Source organism: Homo sapiens, chromosome 11 (genome assembly GCF_000001405.40).
Source record: "Homo sapiens chromosome 11, GRCh38.p14 Primary Assembly".
NCBI classification, from domain to species: Eukaryota; Metazoa; Chordata; class Mammalia; order Primates; family Hominidae; genus Homo; species Homo sapiens.
In genome coordinates, this window is record NC_000011.10 from 108,682,535 (window position 1) to 108,699,695 (window position 17,161).

Sequence of the window (17,161 nt, forward strand, 5' to 3'; positions counted from 1 at the left end):
TGAGTAGCATATTTTTAATCTGGTATGATAATTGCTTTTGACAGTTAATTTAATTATTATTTGGGTCCCTTTACTTCTTCCTACCTTTGTGTCTTCATTGTTAAGTATTTTAATTCCACGTGTATCTTAAGCCCCATAAGCCACTGTTATCACTGTTTGCAACATCAGTATTTATTTAGACTTACCCAGTTCTTCTTCTTGTATTGTCACCCTTCCACCTGAGAATTTTTCTTTTGCTCAGATAATTTCCTTTTTAGTGCAGACTTGTTAGTGAAACAGCGTTTTGACCTTTCTGAAAACCTCTTTATTTCATCTTCATTTTTTTTTGAAGCCTATCTTGGCAGTTTTTTTTTCCTCTTCAAAGACATCTTTGTTGTACTCTAAGTTCCATTATTTCTGTCAAAGTCATCTGACAGTTCTCTTGTTCCTTTGAAGGTAATTTTTTCTTTATTTCTGGCCAGCAAATGCCTTAAGGTCAGGTTGTCTTGATCTGGTCTAGCCTGGCAATTAGACTCTGGGGTTATCCTATTTCTGGTTTGTCCTGAGACTTGGGGTATAATCTTCACAGATGGGGCATAGCCTTTCTCAGGGTCTCAACCAAAAGACTGAGGTATCTACCAGGGCCCCTCTGTCTTGGCAAGTTGTGAACCTCGTAGCATTGTGACCCTGCCAGAATCTCTGCTCAGTTCTGTAGCTTCCCAGTTGGTTGGTTTTTGCTTGTTTTTCCTCATTTTGACTTATGTGTGCTCTGTTTAGGGGTTGGCATGTTCCTCAAGGGTAAATTGTATGAAAAATTTTAGATTCAGTTTTCCTTCTCTCTGGGACTTGCGACTGATGTGTTTAGGCTTAAGGCTGCTACCTTGTTTCTCCCCTGTCTTGCAATCAGCAAATGCTTTTGGGGAGAAAAGTGAGGTTGTTAACAGAGGGCTTGGCTCAGGGCATTTCTGTTTTTTCCTTTAGCACCTCAAGTCCTACCTGCCTTGGTAGCTCTCAGATGCTGCCAGTCTTTTTGTTTTGTTTTGTATTTATTCCTGCTTTTGTAGTTGCTATTCTAGGCCAGAGGGTTAATCTGATACAAGCAGCTTCTTAGCCCTGCAATTTTAGCAGCTGATAGAAATTATTGCCTAGCTCCATTATTTCATCAGGGTTTGCAAAATTGTGATATTTTAATTCTATTATTTCTTCATTAGTTTAAATACTTTCATATCAAAGAGCTTTCACATGAACTATGTGATTCTGAGGTACAGTTCTTACAGGAAAGCCAGAATATTAGAATGTATGCTGTAACACCAATGAGTTGGTTCCCTAGTATTTTCTGAAGGTTAGCAGTATTTGTTTTTGGTGGGGGGTGGAGGTTGTGTGTACTAAAAATGAACTCAGATTTAATGATAATTAATGATGAATTAATGATACTTAACTCATAGATTAAACATCTTTTTATGTCCTTGAATCAATAGAAATTTTTATATTTAATATTCATCTTGTGTCATCCCAAACTTCGCTAGTAGATGCTTCAAGTTATTATCTTGATTCTTCAGATGCATTTTAGTAATCTTTGGACTCCTTGCTTTCTGGTGTTCTAAGTTTATCTTATCTATTTCCAGTTCTTTTTTTTTTTTTTTTTTTAAGGTTATAGATTTTCTTTTTTTTTTTTTTAATTTTTTTTTTTATTATACTCTTAAGTTTTAGGGTACATGTGCACATTGTGCAGGTTAGTTACATATGTATACATGTGCCATGCTGGTGCGCTGCACCCACTAACTTGTCATCTTGTCATCTAGCATTAGGTATATCTCCCAATGCTATCCCTCCCCCCTCCCCCGACCCCACCACAGTCCCCAGAGTATGATATTCCCCTTCCTGTGTCCATGTGATCTCATTGTTCAATTCCCACCTATGAGTGAGAATATGCAGTGTTTGGTTTTTTGTTCTTGCGATAGTTTACTGAGAATGATGGTTTCCAATTTCATCCATGTCCCTACAAAGGACATGAACTCATCAGTTTTTATGGCTGCATAGTATTCCATGGTGTATATGTGCCACATTTTCTTAATCCAGTCTATCATTGTTGGACATTTGGGTTGGTTCCAAGTCTTTGCTATTGTGAATAATGCCGCAATAAACATACGTGTGCATGTGTCTTTATAGCAGCATGATTTATAGTCCTTTGGGTATATACCCAGTAATGGGATGGCTGGGTCAAATGGTATTTCTAGTTCTAGATCCCCGAGGAATCGCCACACTGACTTCCACAATGGTTGAACTAGTTTACAGTCCCACCAACAGTGTAAAAGTGTCCCTATTTCTCCACATCCTCTCCAGCACCTGTTGTTTCCTGACTTTTTAATGATTGCCATTCTAACTGGTGTGAGATGATATCTCATAGTGGTTTTGATTTGCATTTCTCTGATGGCCAGTGATGATGAGCATTTCTTCATGTGTTTTTTGGCTGCATAAATGTCTTCTTTTGAGAAGTGTCTGTTCATGTCCTTCGCCCACTTTTTGATGGGGTTGTTTGTTTTTTTCTTGTAAATTTGTTTGAGTTCATTGTAGATTCTGGATATTAGCCCTTTGTCAGATGAGTAGGTTGCGAAAATTTTCTCCCATGTTGTAGGTTGCCTGTTCACTCTGATGGTAGCAATCAGCGCGATTCCGTGGGCGTAGGACCCTCTGAGCCAGGTGTGGGATATAGTCTCGTGGTGCGCCGTTTCTTAAGCCGGTCTGAAAAGCGCAATATTCGGGTGGGAGTGACCCGATTTTCCAGGTGCGTCCGTCACCCCTTTCTTTGACTCGGAAAGGGAACTCCCTGACCCCTTGCGCTTCCCAGGTGAGGCAATGCCTCGCCCTGCTTCGGCTCGCGCACGGTGCGCACACACACTGGCCTGCGCCCACTGTCTGGCACTCCCTAGTGAGATGAACCCGGTACCTCAGATGGAAATGCAGAAATCACCCGTCTTCTGCGTTGCTCACGCTGGGAGCTGTAGACCGGAGCTGTTCCTATTCGGCCATCTTGGCTCCTCCCAAGGTTATCTCCAGTTCTTATAAAATCCTTCTAGCAGGATCTGGTATATAAAGACCATAGTCTAAGTGCTAACAGGCATGGTCATTGTGTTAAGCTTTACAGTGGACAGGCCTTTTTAAAAGAGTTCATGCTGATAATTACAAATGGTATTTAGAATTACAAGGTTTTTATTAAGCCTCATTTAAAAAATATGTATCTCTTTTCTCTTCTGCCAAACATTCATTCCTAAAGACTTCTGTTTCATCTGTCAGTGTATCTAAAATAGTTTCAGGATAATACCAATATTATTACTGATAATATGATTACTTATAAAAGTTTAAGATTCCTTTGCATTTCTCTTTTTCTCCTTAGACATCCCAGTAAAGATGTAGGAATCAAATTCCTTCAAAGGCATTTCCTTTGAAATAATTCCTTTGTCATTTAGTCATCAACTTGATATATATTTGGGCTTATTGTTTTCATTTTGCTCTTTTGTAAAACTTCATTCTGTTTCCCATAATTCCCTATAGATATGGCCTATTTCTTCTTTAAAGACTGTTTTTTTAGAGCAGTTTTAGGTTAATCTCAAAATTGAAAGGAAGGTACAGAGATTTGCCACATACCTGCTGTCCCCATGCAGCCTCTGCCATTATCAACACTCTTGCTAGAATGGTGGTGCATTTGCTACAATGGATGGACCTATGTTTTTGCATCCTTATCACCCAAAGTCTGTTACTTTAGGGTTCACTCTTGGTGTGGTACAGCCCATTGATTTGGACAAATTTATGATAACATATGTCTACTGTTATAGTATTTCACAGTATATTCACTGCCCTGAAAGTCCTCTGTGCTCTGCCTATTCATTTATTCATCTCCCCTGGCAGCCGCTGATCTTTTTACTGTCTCCATAGTGTCATCTTTTCAGAATGTTGTATAGTTGGAACCATACAGTATGGTAGCCTTTTCGTATTGGTTGCTTTCACTTAATATTACGCATTTAAGATTGCTCCATGTCTTTTCATGGAGTGATATGATAGCTCATTTCATTTTAGCACTGAATAATATTCCATTGTCTGGATGTACCACAGTTTATTTATCCATTCACTTACTGAAGGACATCTTGATTGCCTTCAAGTTTTGGCAATTATGAATAAAGCTGCAATAAACATCCTTTTGCAGATCTTTGTGTGGACGTATGTTTTCAACTCTTTTTGGTAAATACCAAGGAACGTGATAGTTGGGTCAGGTACTAAAAGTATGTTTTTTTGAGACAGAGTCTTGCTCTGTCGCCCAGGCTGGAGTGCAGTGGCATAATCTCCCTTCACTGCAAGCTCTGCCCCTCGGGTTCATGCCATTCTCCTGCCTCAGCCTCCCAAGTAGCTGGGACTACAGGTGCCCGCCACCACGCCCGGCTACTTTTTTTGTACTTTTAGTAGAGATGGGGTCTCACTGTGTTTGCCAGGATGGTCTCGATCTCCTGACCTCGTGATCTGCCTGCCTCAGCCTCCCAAAGTGCTGGGATTACAGGCATGAGTCACTGCGCCCGGCCTCAAGTATGTTTGGTTTTAAGAGACTGCTATACTGTCTTCCAAAATGGCAGTATCATTTTGCATTTCTGCCAGCAGTGAAGGATAGTTCCTGTGGCTCCACATCCTTGCCAGCGTTTGGTGTCGTCACTGTTCTGGATTTTGGCCATCTAATAAGTGTGAAGTGACATATCGTTATTTTAATTAACTTTTGCCTGTTGACATATGATATGGATCATCTTTAAATTGTTTTTTATTTTTTTGAGACAAGGTCTTACTCTGTCACCCAGGCTAGAGTGCAGTGTAGCATGATCATGGCTCACTGCAGCCTCGAACTCCCTAGCCTGAATTGATGCTCCTGCTTCAGCCTCCCAGGTAGCTGGGACTATAGGCACATGCCACCATGCCCAGCTAACTTTTGTATTTTTTTGTAGAGATGGGGTTTCACCATGTTGCCCAGGCTGGTGTAGCATCTTTTCATATGGTTATTTTTTTTATCTACATATCCTCTTTGGAGAGGTGTCTGTTAAGATTTTTGGCCTCCTTCCCCCTTTTAAAATTGGGTGTTTCTGTTCTTATTGTTGAATTTTAAGAGTTGTTTGTATATTTTGGAGAACAGTCCTTTATCAGATGTTTTTTGCAAATATTTTTCTCCATTCCGTGGCTTATCTTCTAATTCTTTTGATAGTGTGTTTCACAGATCAGAAACATTTAATTTTAATGAAGTCCAGCTTATCAATTCTTCCCTTTGTGGATCATAACTTAGTCATATCTAAAACCAGTTGACTTGTAGTTTTTGGTTTGTCTGTCCCTCCTCCTTTTTTCTTTCACTGTAAACACAGACACACATGGGTGGGCATGTATATGGATATATAATGTATAGCCCCCTGATAAATAGTACCAAACTATCTGTACTATTCTGCCCCTTACCTCTTTCCTTAACAGTGTGTCCTAGACATCACTCCTCAGCAATATATGGATAGAATCTTCATTCCTTTTTTACAGTTGCATAATAATTAATGTATGTGGCTGTGTAATTGTTCATACTGCAAGTCCCTACTGATGGACATTTGGGTTGATTTTCATCATTTTTTGCTTCATAAATAATGCCATATATTTGTGTGTGTGTATATGTGTGTGTTTAAAACCAGAGTAATGTTGGAATAAAGTAGGTTTATTAATTCAAAGAGTAAATGCATGTATATTTTTCTCCAACATTTTATAATGAAATTTCAAACATATGGTACATTGAAAGACTTCTACCATAAATACCTTATACCAAACACCTAGATACTATCTAATGGTAGCATCCATTTACTTGCTTTCATCCATCCCTTCTATATTAACCCATTTTATTTTTGATGGATTTCAGGGTAAATTGCAGATATCTGTATTCTCTCCAAATACTTCAGCACACGTATTACTGAGAGTTTAATATTTGAACAGATTTTTTTTCTTTTGGCATAAAATTTGTGTACCATGAAATATGAAAATTGTAAGTATACAGTTGAATTTGATGAATGTGTATATCTCAGTAATCTAAAGCCCTAATGAGATGTGGAATACTAATCAGCCCAGCAAGTTCTCTTACACCTCTTCTTAGTTAATCCTTGACCCTGCATTTTTAGAGGTAATCACTGTTCTTGTCATGCTTTGTTTGACATTGATTTACAAGGGATTTTGAATGTGTTTTAAAGTAATGTGTTGAATTTGTTTCCTAAGGGACAATAGAGAAAAATTCTTTTTTTGGTGTATGTGTGTAGGAAATTTGCTTGAGAGATGTGCCACTATTAAAACTTGTTTCCTTTTTTGGTCTGGATTTCAGTTACTTACATGACATATTCTAATGTTTTTCTTTTCCGTAATTCCACAAGCACCCCTGCCACTTTGGAACAGAACTACATAGTCTGTGAGCTGCAGCAAAAAATAAGTGTGCTGTATTCCTTTTTGAGAAGCCATCTGAAGAAGAAGAGCATTGTATTTTTTTCCAGTTGCAAAGAGGTATTGGCTGTTTATTTTGCTTTCTGAACGTATGTTGAATGTCCCTTTTGAAATGGCAAATCAATTAGACAAATTATTATATTGTACGAGAAGTACAGTGCTAGGTGTGGTGAGGGATCTTTCGTGTCCTTGTTGCAAAGGAATCCGTGGCTGAGACTTTCAACTCCACAAGGACAGAAACTGTGTCTTTTCTTAGGTATTATGTTAAGTGCTAACAATACTGGAAATGTAGTCCTCAATAAATATTAGTAGAATGAATAATTGTTATCCAAGCTAAGCAGAGGTCTTTATAATCTGATACCTCCCTTACCCTCCAAGAATATGGGAATGAATATACCATTTATTTCCATGCCGTATATCTTTGTTTATGCTGATCTGTCTGGAATGCCCTCCCTGCATCTCTTCATCTAAATCTGGGGAAATACTTACTTTGAGGCTAAGTTCAAATGTTATGCCTGAAAGTCCCTTTCTGACACTCCCTTTTTAAAGAATCAGTTGTTCCCTCCCCTAACCTTCTGAAGTGTTTTGTTTATATCTTAGTTAATAAACACTTCTTGAACACTAGCCCTGTGCTAGGAATAAAGAATAAGGATTTCAGAGATGTCTAAGAGAACTTTGTCTCCTCTCTTAAGGAGAAGGGACTACGGTCTTTGTGCATGTGTGCGTGCGTGTGCCTCTTCTCCTGTACTATATTTCAGATTCCCAATGACTTAATAGGGAATGTAGTAGATCAATTCTAGATTTACAGCTTTTGCAATAACTTTCCATGATAAATATGTAGATGGGTTTCTCTCTAGCTTATGGGAAGTTAAGTGGTGATCTGATGCTGTTGTCTACTGAACCTTATTTTACCATGTAAAGAATGACTTCAGCCTTGGTGCGGTGGCTCACGCCTGTAATCCCAGCACTTTAAGAGGCTGAGGTAGGAGGATTGCTTGAGTCTAGAAGTTTAAGACCAGCTTGGGCAAGATGGCGACACCCTGTCTTTAAAAAAAAAAAAAAGACTTCAGTTTTTCAAGGACCGATTTTAGATTTTCAAAGCTTCCAGTCTCCTGGGAGCATTCCTCAAGGCAACTTGGAAGTGTATCCTGAGCAGTAGCCAACAACAAAACAATAAACTTCACATCTCCTAAAGAAGAGTTAGTTGGTTTTGGCATCTAGGTGCTAGGAAATGATTCTGAAAGTTCTATTTAAAGTTCTGTTTAAAGTTTCTACTCTTTAGAGTAGGAGATGGCATCAAAGGTGGCCTTGGCATAGTTGCCCAGGGTGGCAATGCAGCCTCTTGGTCGAGGTATAGCAATTGTCAATACCCACCATCAGCAGCAGCTTCTTGGGCATGGGGCTGAGATGATACCAGTGCCTCCTGAGGTGGGGATAAGTCTCACCAGCACAGAGAGGGTCTGTCACCCTGCAAGGGCTGGTGAGCTTGCCGATCTTGTTCCCCAAGTAGCCTCTTGGCACAAGGACAATGGAGAGCTTGGCCAGGATAATGGCTCCTCAAATGGCAGTGGCTACCTCCTTGGAGCACCTGATACCCGTATCAGTGTGGCCATTGTAGTCCCCAGTGGCAACATGCCTTGAATCCAGTGCGTTGGCCAGTGTGGGCCACTTTTGCGCCATGTAATCTTTGAAACCTCATTCTTGAGAGATGCCCCCAGGAAAATGTCAAGGACCTCAGACTCCTTGATGGGCAGGAGAAGAGATAGATCTCCTCCAGGGACTTGGTCTTCATGTCCTTCACCAAGCAGCACAGCTTTGTGACTGGCATCCACCCCTTGGCTTTGCCTCAGTGGCCTTGGTTGCAGGTGCTATTGCTGAAGCCTCCATCGAAGCCTCTGTGGTTTCCAATTCCTTGTCCCGTGGACCCTTCCGCTGCACCAGCATCATCTGCCATTTGATGTTTTCTTGGAGAAGCTGTTTTTACATCTTTACGAAAGAAAGGCCTAAGTCCAGCTATCTCTGATACTTGCCTGATATATTGTCCCAGAATCAGAACCTCCCTGGCAGTAGCAAATTGCATTTGAGAAAGTGAATGGCTAGTGATTGGGTAACAAGCAATTCACTTGGTTTCCCATTCTTTACTGTCAGCAAAATTGAAGAGAGACTTTAATGGGGTCTTTCTCTTTAATTGAGCGACTGGATCACCAAAAATTATTTGGAATAATCCATTATGACTTTTGGCCTATTTTATAGGAGCTCAGAATTAAACTTCCTTTGAGTTTGTTTTATTTATGTGAACAGATTTTAACCCCCATATTAGAGAAAATAAAATAATGCTGAACTCTTTTCAGTCTAGTAATCCATAGTATCCATTTATGGGTACAAAAAGAGAACCAGAACAATTAGCTCTATATAGTCCCACACATTGAGATATATTTACAATGTTTTTATTTATGTCTAACAGTTTTTTAAATCAAATCCCAACATATTTCTTGGTTTGATCAGTTCTGTATTACTAATTATTTTAATAATTGCTGAGTCTGAGAGGAAAGTTCAGTCAGCCTATGGCCACAGGAAATTAAAATAAGTTTTTTCTTTTGTAGAAAATGAGTTATGATAACATCAATAAAAGGCTTTCAAGCTTCAAACTTAAGATGCAATTCTGTGACGTTAGGAAATAGAAATGTGAATTAAAGGAGGGAAGGAAATTAAATTGCTTGTGATTAAATAAGAGTTTCTTTACTTTTTTTACTTGGTTGGAATTGGGTATCACATTGCTCTGCTGTTGAGACTCTGTGGGATACGTTGATAAGAGAAAAGCTTTATTGCTGCCATCTGCCATAAGCAAACTTATTCTTCTGTTGATGCCCCAGGTCCAGTATCTGTACCGAGTGTTTTGCCGGCTACGTCCTGGTGTTTCTATCCTTGCACTCCATGGTCGACAGCAGCAAATGAGAAGAATGGAAGTCTATAATGAGTTTGTCCGTAAGAGAGCTGCAGTACTCTTTGCTACTGATATTGCAGCCAGGGGTCTGGGTAAGAAAACTTCCTATCATGAAATTTCTGTGATTGTGTGAAATGTAATTTGCTTATAAAGTATATTTTGGGAAATCTGATAGACTCAAACACTTGGGTTTCTTTTCTTATTTTGTAAGAGAAAAGTAAGTAGTAAATTGGTAGCAGTTGACTAACATTAAGGATGTATCAGTGAAAATTTCCACAGTATTTGCATCTTTTTTACTATTTCATGATAATCACACCATAGAATCCTGAGGAACCTACAAAATCAAAGGGGGTTAAAAGTTTAAAGATATGAAAACAATTCCCATTTCTTTGAAAATTGGAAACTTGTTTATAGATACTGAACTCATTTAACAAGAAAAATCAGTGAAGTCCATGTTTTCATCATTCTAATTTTTATCTGATAAATAACTACATTTAGCGTAGTTAAATTTATTTTCAAAACCTGCTTTGTTGATTATACAACTCCTGGCTTTGTGGGAATGGGACGGGGATGGACGTAACTAGAGAGGAAAACTAGACTTAGGAACAAAGGGTGAGAATAAATAGGTGATAATTTGAATCCTTCAGTCACTTAATTTTATTGTATTGTTAATTACAGCAAATTTGAAGCATAAACAAAAGCTGAATATGTTTAATCTACCCTCATATACCCAGCTTTAACAATTATCTTTTTCATAATCCTCCCCCTGTCCCTCTTGGAGTACTCTAAAGCATATCTCAGATGCCATATTTATTAGTATAGGCTGGAGTACAGTAGCATGATCATAGCTCACTACAGCCTCGATCTACCAGGCTCAAGTGATACTCCCACCTCAGCTTCCCCAGCAGCTGGGACTACAGGCATGCGCCATGCCTGACTAGTTTTTATTTTACTTAATTTTTTATTATGCTTTAAGTTCTGGGGTACATGTACAGATTGTGCAGGTTTGTTACATAGGTATACATGTGCCATGGTGGTTTGCTGCATCCATCAACCCGTCATCTACATTAGGTATTTCTCCTAATGCTATCCCTCCCCTAGTCCCCCACCTCCAGACAGGCCCCAGTGTGTGATGTTCCTCTCCCTGTGTCCACTCTTCAACTCCCACTTATGAGTGAGAACATGCAGTGTTTGGGTTTCTGTTCCCGTTGGTTTGCTGAGAATGATGGTTTCCAGCTTTGTCCATGTCCCCATTAGAAGTGGTGCTTTCGGGTTATTAAATATTAGGGTATTTCACTGTTTGTCCGACACAAAGCAATCTGTCTCTTCCGTGTCAGATACGAAGTAATCTTCATATTCAAACAGTCATTAATTTTAGTTCATTTTGTCAAGAGAAATGTTTACTATCTCTTGGTTCATGCAATTAATTTTATTTTTAATAGAGTTCATAGATGATATCCATCAGTTTGATGTGATGAAAAGTCCTGGCAAGCAATATTTTAAGATAAAAATAGTGCAGCAGGGCAGATCTTGCAACCAGTTTCTTAACTTCACATCCCTTCTCTGTAGATTTCCCGGCCGTGAATTGGGTTCTTCAGTTTGATTGTCCTGAGGATGCCAACACATATATTCACAGAGCAGGTAGAACTGCCAGGTAGGTGTACTGACTAATTTCTTTTCTTTTGCTACTATCTAAATAACAAAGCATGCTTTTCCAACTGCAGATAAACGAAGAAAGGAATCAGGTAAGTGAGTGCTGGTTTGGCATTTTGTGGTGTGAGTTGACAGCTACTGTAAATCATTATGGCTAAGACTTGATTAGTGCTGCAAAAAATCCATAAAAATCTTATTTTAGTTTGTTTAAACTTTCTTGTACTTTACTTTTCAGCAAAACTGCTCATTGAAAGTCATCTCATTGAATCCTAATGACCTGTCAGTTAGGTCTAGGACTGCAGTAGTCCTCACTTATCCTCAGGGGTTATGTTCCAAGGTCCCAGTGGATGCCTGAAATCTCAGTACCAAACCCAATATATGCTATGTTTTTTCAGTCTAGTAACTGAGACAGCTAAGTAACAAGTGGGTGGGGTCTTAAGCGTGCATATGCTGGACAAAGGGATGATTCACATTGTGGGCAGGACACAGTGGGATGGTGTGACATTTTATCAGGCTACTCAGAAGGGTGAGCAATTTAAAACTTATGAATTGTTTATTTCTGGAATTTTCCATTTAATATATTTAATATTTTTTGGGCCTTGGTTGACTGGGGGTAACTGAAACCACAGAAAGCGAAACCACAGATAGAGGGGGGACTACTTACTGTATTATTAAATCCCTATTTTCAGGTGAGGAAACTGAATCTTTGAGCAGTTAAACAATTTGTTCAAAGATCCACAGAGCCAGGATTTGAACCCAGGCAGTCTGGCTTATCTAGTCTAGATCTTGTGCTCTTACCTTCTAAAGTATAGGCTAATAAGAGGCTAAGTGATTTGGAATCATAGATATCTCTTTTTCCTTTCTTCCTAGTTCAGGAAACAGAGACATTGCTGAAGACCACTCCCTATCTCTCCTTCTTCCTATACTCCCCACTTCCTCCCAAAAGTATCCTATGTTTGCTCAAGAGGTATGAGGAACTGTCTAGAAAAGAATGTAGTAGGCTGGGCATGGTGGCTCATGCCTGTAATCCCAGCCCTTTGGGAGGCCGAGGTGGGCGGATCACGAGGTCAGGAGTTCAAGACCAGCCTGAGCAACATGGTGAAACCCTGTCTCTACTACAAATACAAAAAAATCAGCCAGGAGTGGTGGTGTGCGCCTGTAGTCTCAGCTCCTTGGGAGGCTGAGGCAGGAGAATCACGTGAACCCGGGAGGCGGAGGTTGCAGTGAGCCGAGATCGCACCACTGCATTCCAGCCTGGGCGACAGAGTGATGCTCTGTCTCAAAAACAACAAAACAAAACAAATAAAAAAAAACCATAGTAAAGTCAGTCATTTGGAATTAAGTGGCATAGAAAGGTATATGAATGAATCAAAAAGGATTACACAATCTGTCATTGCTGTTAAGCTGTAGCAGCAAAGCTGGGAGGTATACATTCTTGGTGGAATTGTAAATGGTTAACATTTTTCTGGATAGCATATGGTAATACTTATTAACAACCTTACAGTTCTTGTTTTTGTCTTAGTAATTCCACATCCAGAAATGGATCTTAAGAAAATAGAGAGCTGAATAAAGTTTCAATGTACATTTGTCTTGCTGATGTTTGTAGTGTTTAAGAATTGGAATTTATTATGATCTTTAGATTATGATTATGGTTAGCCACAGATGGACTATTTATTCAGTTTTACATTTTTGCTCTGTTTTCTTTCTCATCAAAACTGGATGATTGGGTATTTATCATATGGATTCCAGGATTGGTCTAACTGGACCAATGGTTGCTTCCAATTTCATGCCACAAACTCTTCTCAAAACTTTCCCAGGGATGTGAGGATCTTTAGGCCCGAGCACAGACTGTCCTGTTTGGCAGGCTTGCTTTACCACCTGCCCTGTGTCCACTTCAGCAAGTGGCCCCAAGTATGAAAGTGTACGCTATCCCTTGCTTACCTAGGAAGTCCCCTTGGCGTTTAGTTCTTTTAGATTTCTATACATTTATATTTTTTGGGTAGCTTTGAAGAAAATTTTTTTGTTTTTGTTTTTATGTGGTCACTTTTTGTTTCAGCTGAAGTGAAGGTTTTTATGTCTTTTTATAGCCTAGCAAGAAATAGATCTTCTTAAAATTCTATTTAATTTTCATAAGATGTTTGAATGTATGAGTGTTTAAGTGTTTTTTTTTTTTGTTTTTTTTGATTGATTCATGTTTATCCTGTGGGCCATCTTTAAACGTGGTTTATAATAAAAATGCACTCAAATTAAATGTGCTTCTTTTGACCAGCATGAAAGAAGGGAGAGAACAGTATAATAATGAAAGACTATTTAAAAATAGGATTTATGAATTAGTGGGTTCAAAAATAAGTCTTTTAATTGCAATTAATGATGTAGTTTTAAACAAGCAATGCAGTTAGGATTAGGTTTTGTATATGATACTGTACATTTAGACAAACTTGTTTTTAGAACTTTCTTTCTTCTTGGAACTAACTAAAATGGGACATGGGTAGAATAGTTGCCTGTTCTCCATTTTTATGAGGGGGTAGATGGTGCCTCATTGGTCTTTAATGTATTGAGTACATGGTTTTTGTTTTGTTCTGTTTTGTTTTTTTTGAGACAGAGTGTCGCTCTGTCACCCAGGCTGGAGTGCAGTGGCACAATCTCAGCTCACTGCAACCTCCGCCTCCCGGGTTCAAGTGATTCTCCTGCCTCAGCCTCCCAAGTAGCTGGGACTATAGGCGCGTGCCACCACACCTGCCTAATTTTTGTATTTTTAGTAGAGATGGCGTTTCACCATGTTGGCCAGGTTGGTTTTGAACTCCTGACCTCAAGTGATCCGCCCGCCTCAGCCTCCCAAAGTGTTGGGATTACAGGTGTGAGCCACAGTGCCCGGCGAGTACCTGTTTTGATTGTCATTCATAGTGAGTATTTTGGAAAGTCATCAGTGGTGGTTGGTGGAATGACCTTCTCCACTGTTATTCTCCTCAGTAAATGTGTAGTTGTGTAAATTTTTACATGTACCTGTGCACATATCTGCATTCTGTGCTCCTGTGGGCCTCTGGATAGGCAGGGTTGGATATGGTATCTCACAAGTGCATTGGGCCAGGGGTGTAGGCGCTTTTTATTTTTATTTTTTCTTTTCCTTTTCGATATCTTTAATATAGTGTATTCTTTAATGTGATTATTTTCATATGTATTACATTCTTTTTAGATGTGCCAGTGGTATTGATGGGGACAGGGCAGACTGATTCATAAATAGAATACATTTAGCAGTAAAATTCTCCCTATATGAAGATTATTGGACATGTCAATATAAATCAGGAAAAGATTCTAGAGGGGGGAATATTTCAAGGTTCTTGGTTCCTAGAGAAGTTGTTGAAAATTTTATGTAGTTGAACATGCCGTGGTGAACATTAAATTGGGTCTTAATGACTGAGGAGATGAAGAGGAGTTAGAACAACATCACATTATTGTGTCTGAAGAGAGAGAATACTAATCTGAAAAAAATGTTTTAATGTAATTTTTAGTATGGTCGTTAACTTTTAAAGCACAAGCCTGTTTGACCTTTTGTAACCAATTAAAAGTATTTTTACTTGACTATTTTAGATGTATAGTATGTGGAAAGGTTTAGCATATATAATGCTTTTTTTTTTTTTTTTTTCTGGCAGTTTAAAACTTGCCAATAATGGGCTTAAAGATAATTAGAAAGTTTTGTGGGCCATGAGACTGAATAATTGAATTGAATAAAGGCTAAATTAAAATTAGAATCTAATTAAAATCCTGTGTATTTGGCTGTAATTAAGACCAAGTTGCCAGATAGTGTTTGCTTTTGCAATTGAACTATAATATATCGATATAGGAAAACAAATTCATTAGCAAAATAGCTAAGATTTGGGGAATCTTTTTTTCTTTCCATATTTTAGCTAAAAAAGTGATTTGGGTACTTTTGTCTTGAAGTACCTAATTCTGTATTAATTAATTTTACCTTTCTAAATTCCTTTTGATCTATAGCAGTTGAGAAATTTCCCTGTATTTTCCTTAACCAGCACACCCCTTTTAACAAAATGATCTCCTTTAGAGATAAGTGAGGCCAGGTATATGAATATAGTTTTATAATGCTCTATCCTGTGATACATTCTGTCACTTTAAAAAGCAATTCTCTTTAGGGCTTATAGTTCTTTTGGTACAAAACCAAGCTCTTCCAGTTTTTATAAAAATGTCCAGTTGAAAGTAGAAAATATTTGGGAATGGAAAATAGACATCAGATATTCTCAACTTTAAAAAATGTTTTTATTTGGGGAGGGTAGGGGAGGGTTGTGGGTAGAAGATGGGCATTTATATATAACTATTTTTTTCCCCCAGAATAGTAGAAGATAAAATAATTTCAGCAATATTCTAATTTAGCCTTATGTGCCTGGCTACATTTTGTGGCGCTCAGAAATTCTGTAACATAAGGAGCAGAATGTGATTCCACTAGGGGACAGCAGAGGCCAAACCTTAGCATTGCACACTCACTGGCAGCAGCTTAGATCTTAGAAAAGAGGAAGATGGCCACTAGTTAAAATCTGTAATAACTTCTGAAGAGTTCATGGCTGGTTGTGGGAGAATACTGGTACTTTATGGAATAGCTAATGAGAATTTTTTAATAGTGTCTTTAATTGGTTTGTGAATTGAAATAATAAAAGTAAAAAGACAGTTTTCATGAGCATTAACTTTCCAAGGCTTACCATGTGTACCTTAGATATAAGATAGGAGCAATCTTTGTTAGTGAAAATGATTTCTTTAATTCCTTTAGCTTACATTTGTGAAGGTCTGCAGTCTGCTCCTCGTAGATAGTGGCTGATGCTTCTTTACGTGACCTGCTTTTGTTGGTATCTATGATTTAAAGGTTGCATAAAAGGTCACAGCAAATTTATTTTGCATCTTGAAGCAATGAGGAGCTGGGGGAGAGTATAGCCAGTATGGCTGTAGGAGTAGATAAGGAGGGCTGATATTTCTTAGGAGTCTATTTCCCAGGTACCCTTGGGAGTATTTCTTAGGAGTCTGTTTCCCAGGCACCCCTTAGGAATAGGGGTGCCCCCACTTTATTCTCCTGTCTAGTCAATACAGCAGGCACAGTGTTCCTTCTAAAACATAAGTCGGATTATATCACTCCTCTGATGGCATACCATTTCACTCAGAGTGAAAGCCAATGACCCCCTGGGCCTAAACTATTCATCCGTTTCCCCCCAGTTTGCTAGTATTCTCCCCTTGTTCTCTATGCTCCGTACTGGTCTTGCTGTTTCTTTTATGTGCCAGGCGTGCTTTTGCCCGTAGGGCCTTTATACTGGTGCTGTCTCTTTTCTGCTGGAATGCATTTTCCTCAAGTATCCACATGGCTGTCTTCCTCACCCTCCCCAACCACTCCTTTTAACCCTGCTTGACATTCCTTTCTCCAAAGTCCTTTATCACCTTCAAATATACTGGAGTATTTACTTAGTATATTTTTACATTGCTTTCACCTTGATTGTAAGTTCCATAAAGGCAGCAATGTTTGTCTAGTATATTGATGTACCCTAAGTGCTTAGAACAGGACCTGACATGTAGTAGACTACATTTGAGATAGTGATTCAGACTCATGAATCAGATCTTACCTAATATGTTAATTATTTATTGTTGTATAACAAATTGACCCATGGCTTGGTGGTTTAAAGCAATAACCATTTATTATCGCAGCAACCATTTATCTTGTAGCTTCTGTGGGTCAGGTACCCAGTGTGGTTCATCTGGGTCCTCTGGCTCTCAGTCTATCACAAGGCTGTAATGAAGGTGTCAGATGGTACTTTAAGGTTCAGCTAGGGTTGCATTCATTCTCAGATTTATTCACATGGTTGTTTCCAGATTCATTTCCTCCTCTGCTGTTGGTCAGAGGCATCTCTCAGTTCCTTTTCATCTGGTCTTCTTCACAGGATAGCCACAACATGGTAACTGACCTCATCAGAGAGGGCAAATGACAGCTGAGGGAGAGAAAGATGAAGCAGTAATGTCTTTCATGACCTAGACTTGGAAGTCACAGTCCATCTTTCCTGTAACATCCTGGGGTTGCATGTCAGTTCTGTTCCTTGTAGGGGGACT

The 17,161-nt window shown here is 38.9% G+C and overlaps 1 protein-coding gene, 1 long non-coding RNA gene and 1 pseudogene across 2 annotated transcripts in view; 1 reads left to right on the forward strand and 2 right to left on the reverse strand.

Moving 5' to 3' along the window:
• The window catches only part of DDX10 (DEAD-box helicase 10), a 275,859-nt gene that overhangs the window by 17,466 nt on the left and 241,232 nt on the right, over window positions 1–17,161 (forward strand). Inside the window, exons 7-9 of the mRNA NM_004398.4 lie at window positions 6,402–6,528; window positions 9,342–9,504; window positions 10,982–11,066. Coding sequence (NP_004389.2) covers window positions 6,402–6,528; window positions 9,342–9,504; window positions 10,982–11,066 — 375 coding nt within the window. The remainder of the gene's footprint in view (window positions 1–6,401; window positions 6,529–9,341; window positions 9,505–10,981; window positions 11,067–17,161) is intronic.
• On the reverse strand, window positions 7,755–8,422 carry RPS2P39 (ribosomal protein S2 pseudogene 39; annotated as a pseudogene).
• LOC124902750 (uncharacterized) overlaps window positions 16,973–17,161 on the reverse strand; it is an 80,188-nt gene continuing 79,999 nt past the window's right edge. The window contains exon 3 of the long non-coding RNA XR_007062881.1: window positions 16,973–17,043. This is a non-coding gene — a long non-coding RNA (uncharacterized LOC124902750). The remainder of the gene's footprint in view (window positions 17,044–17,161) is intronic.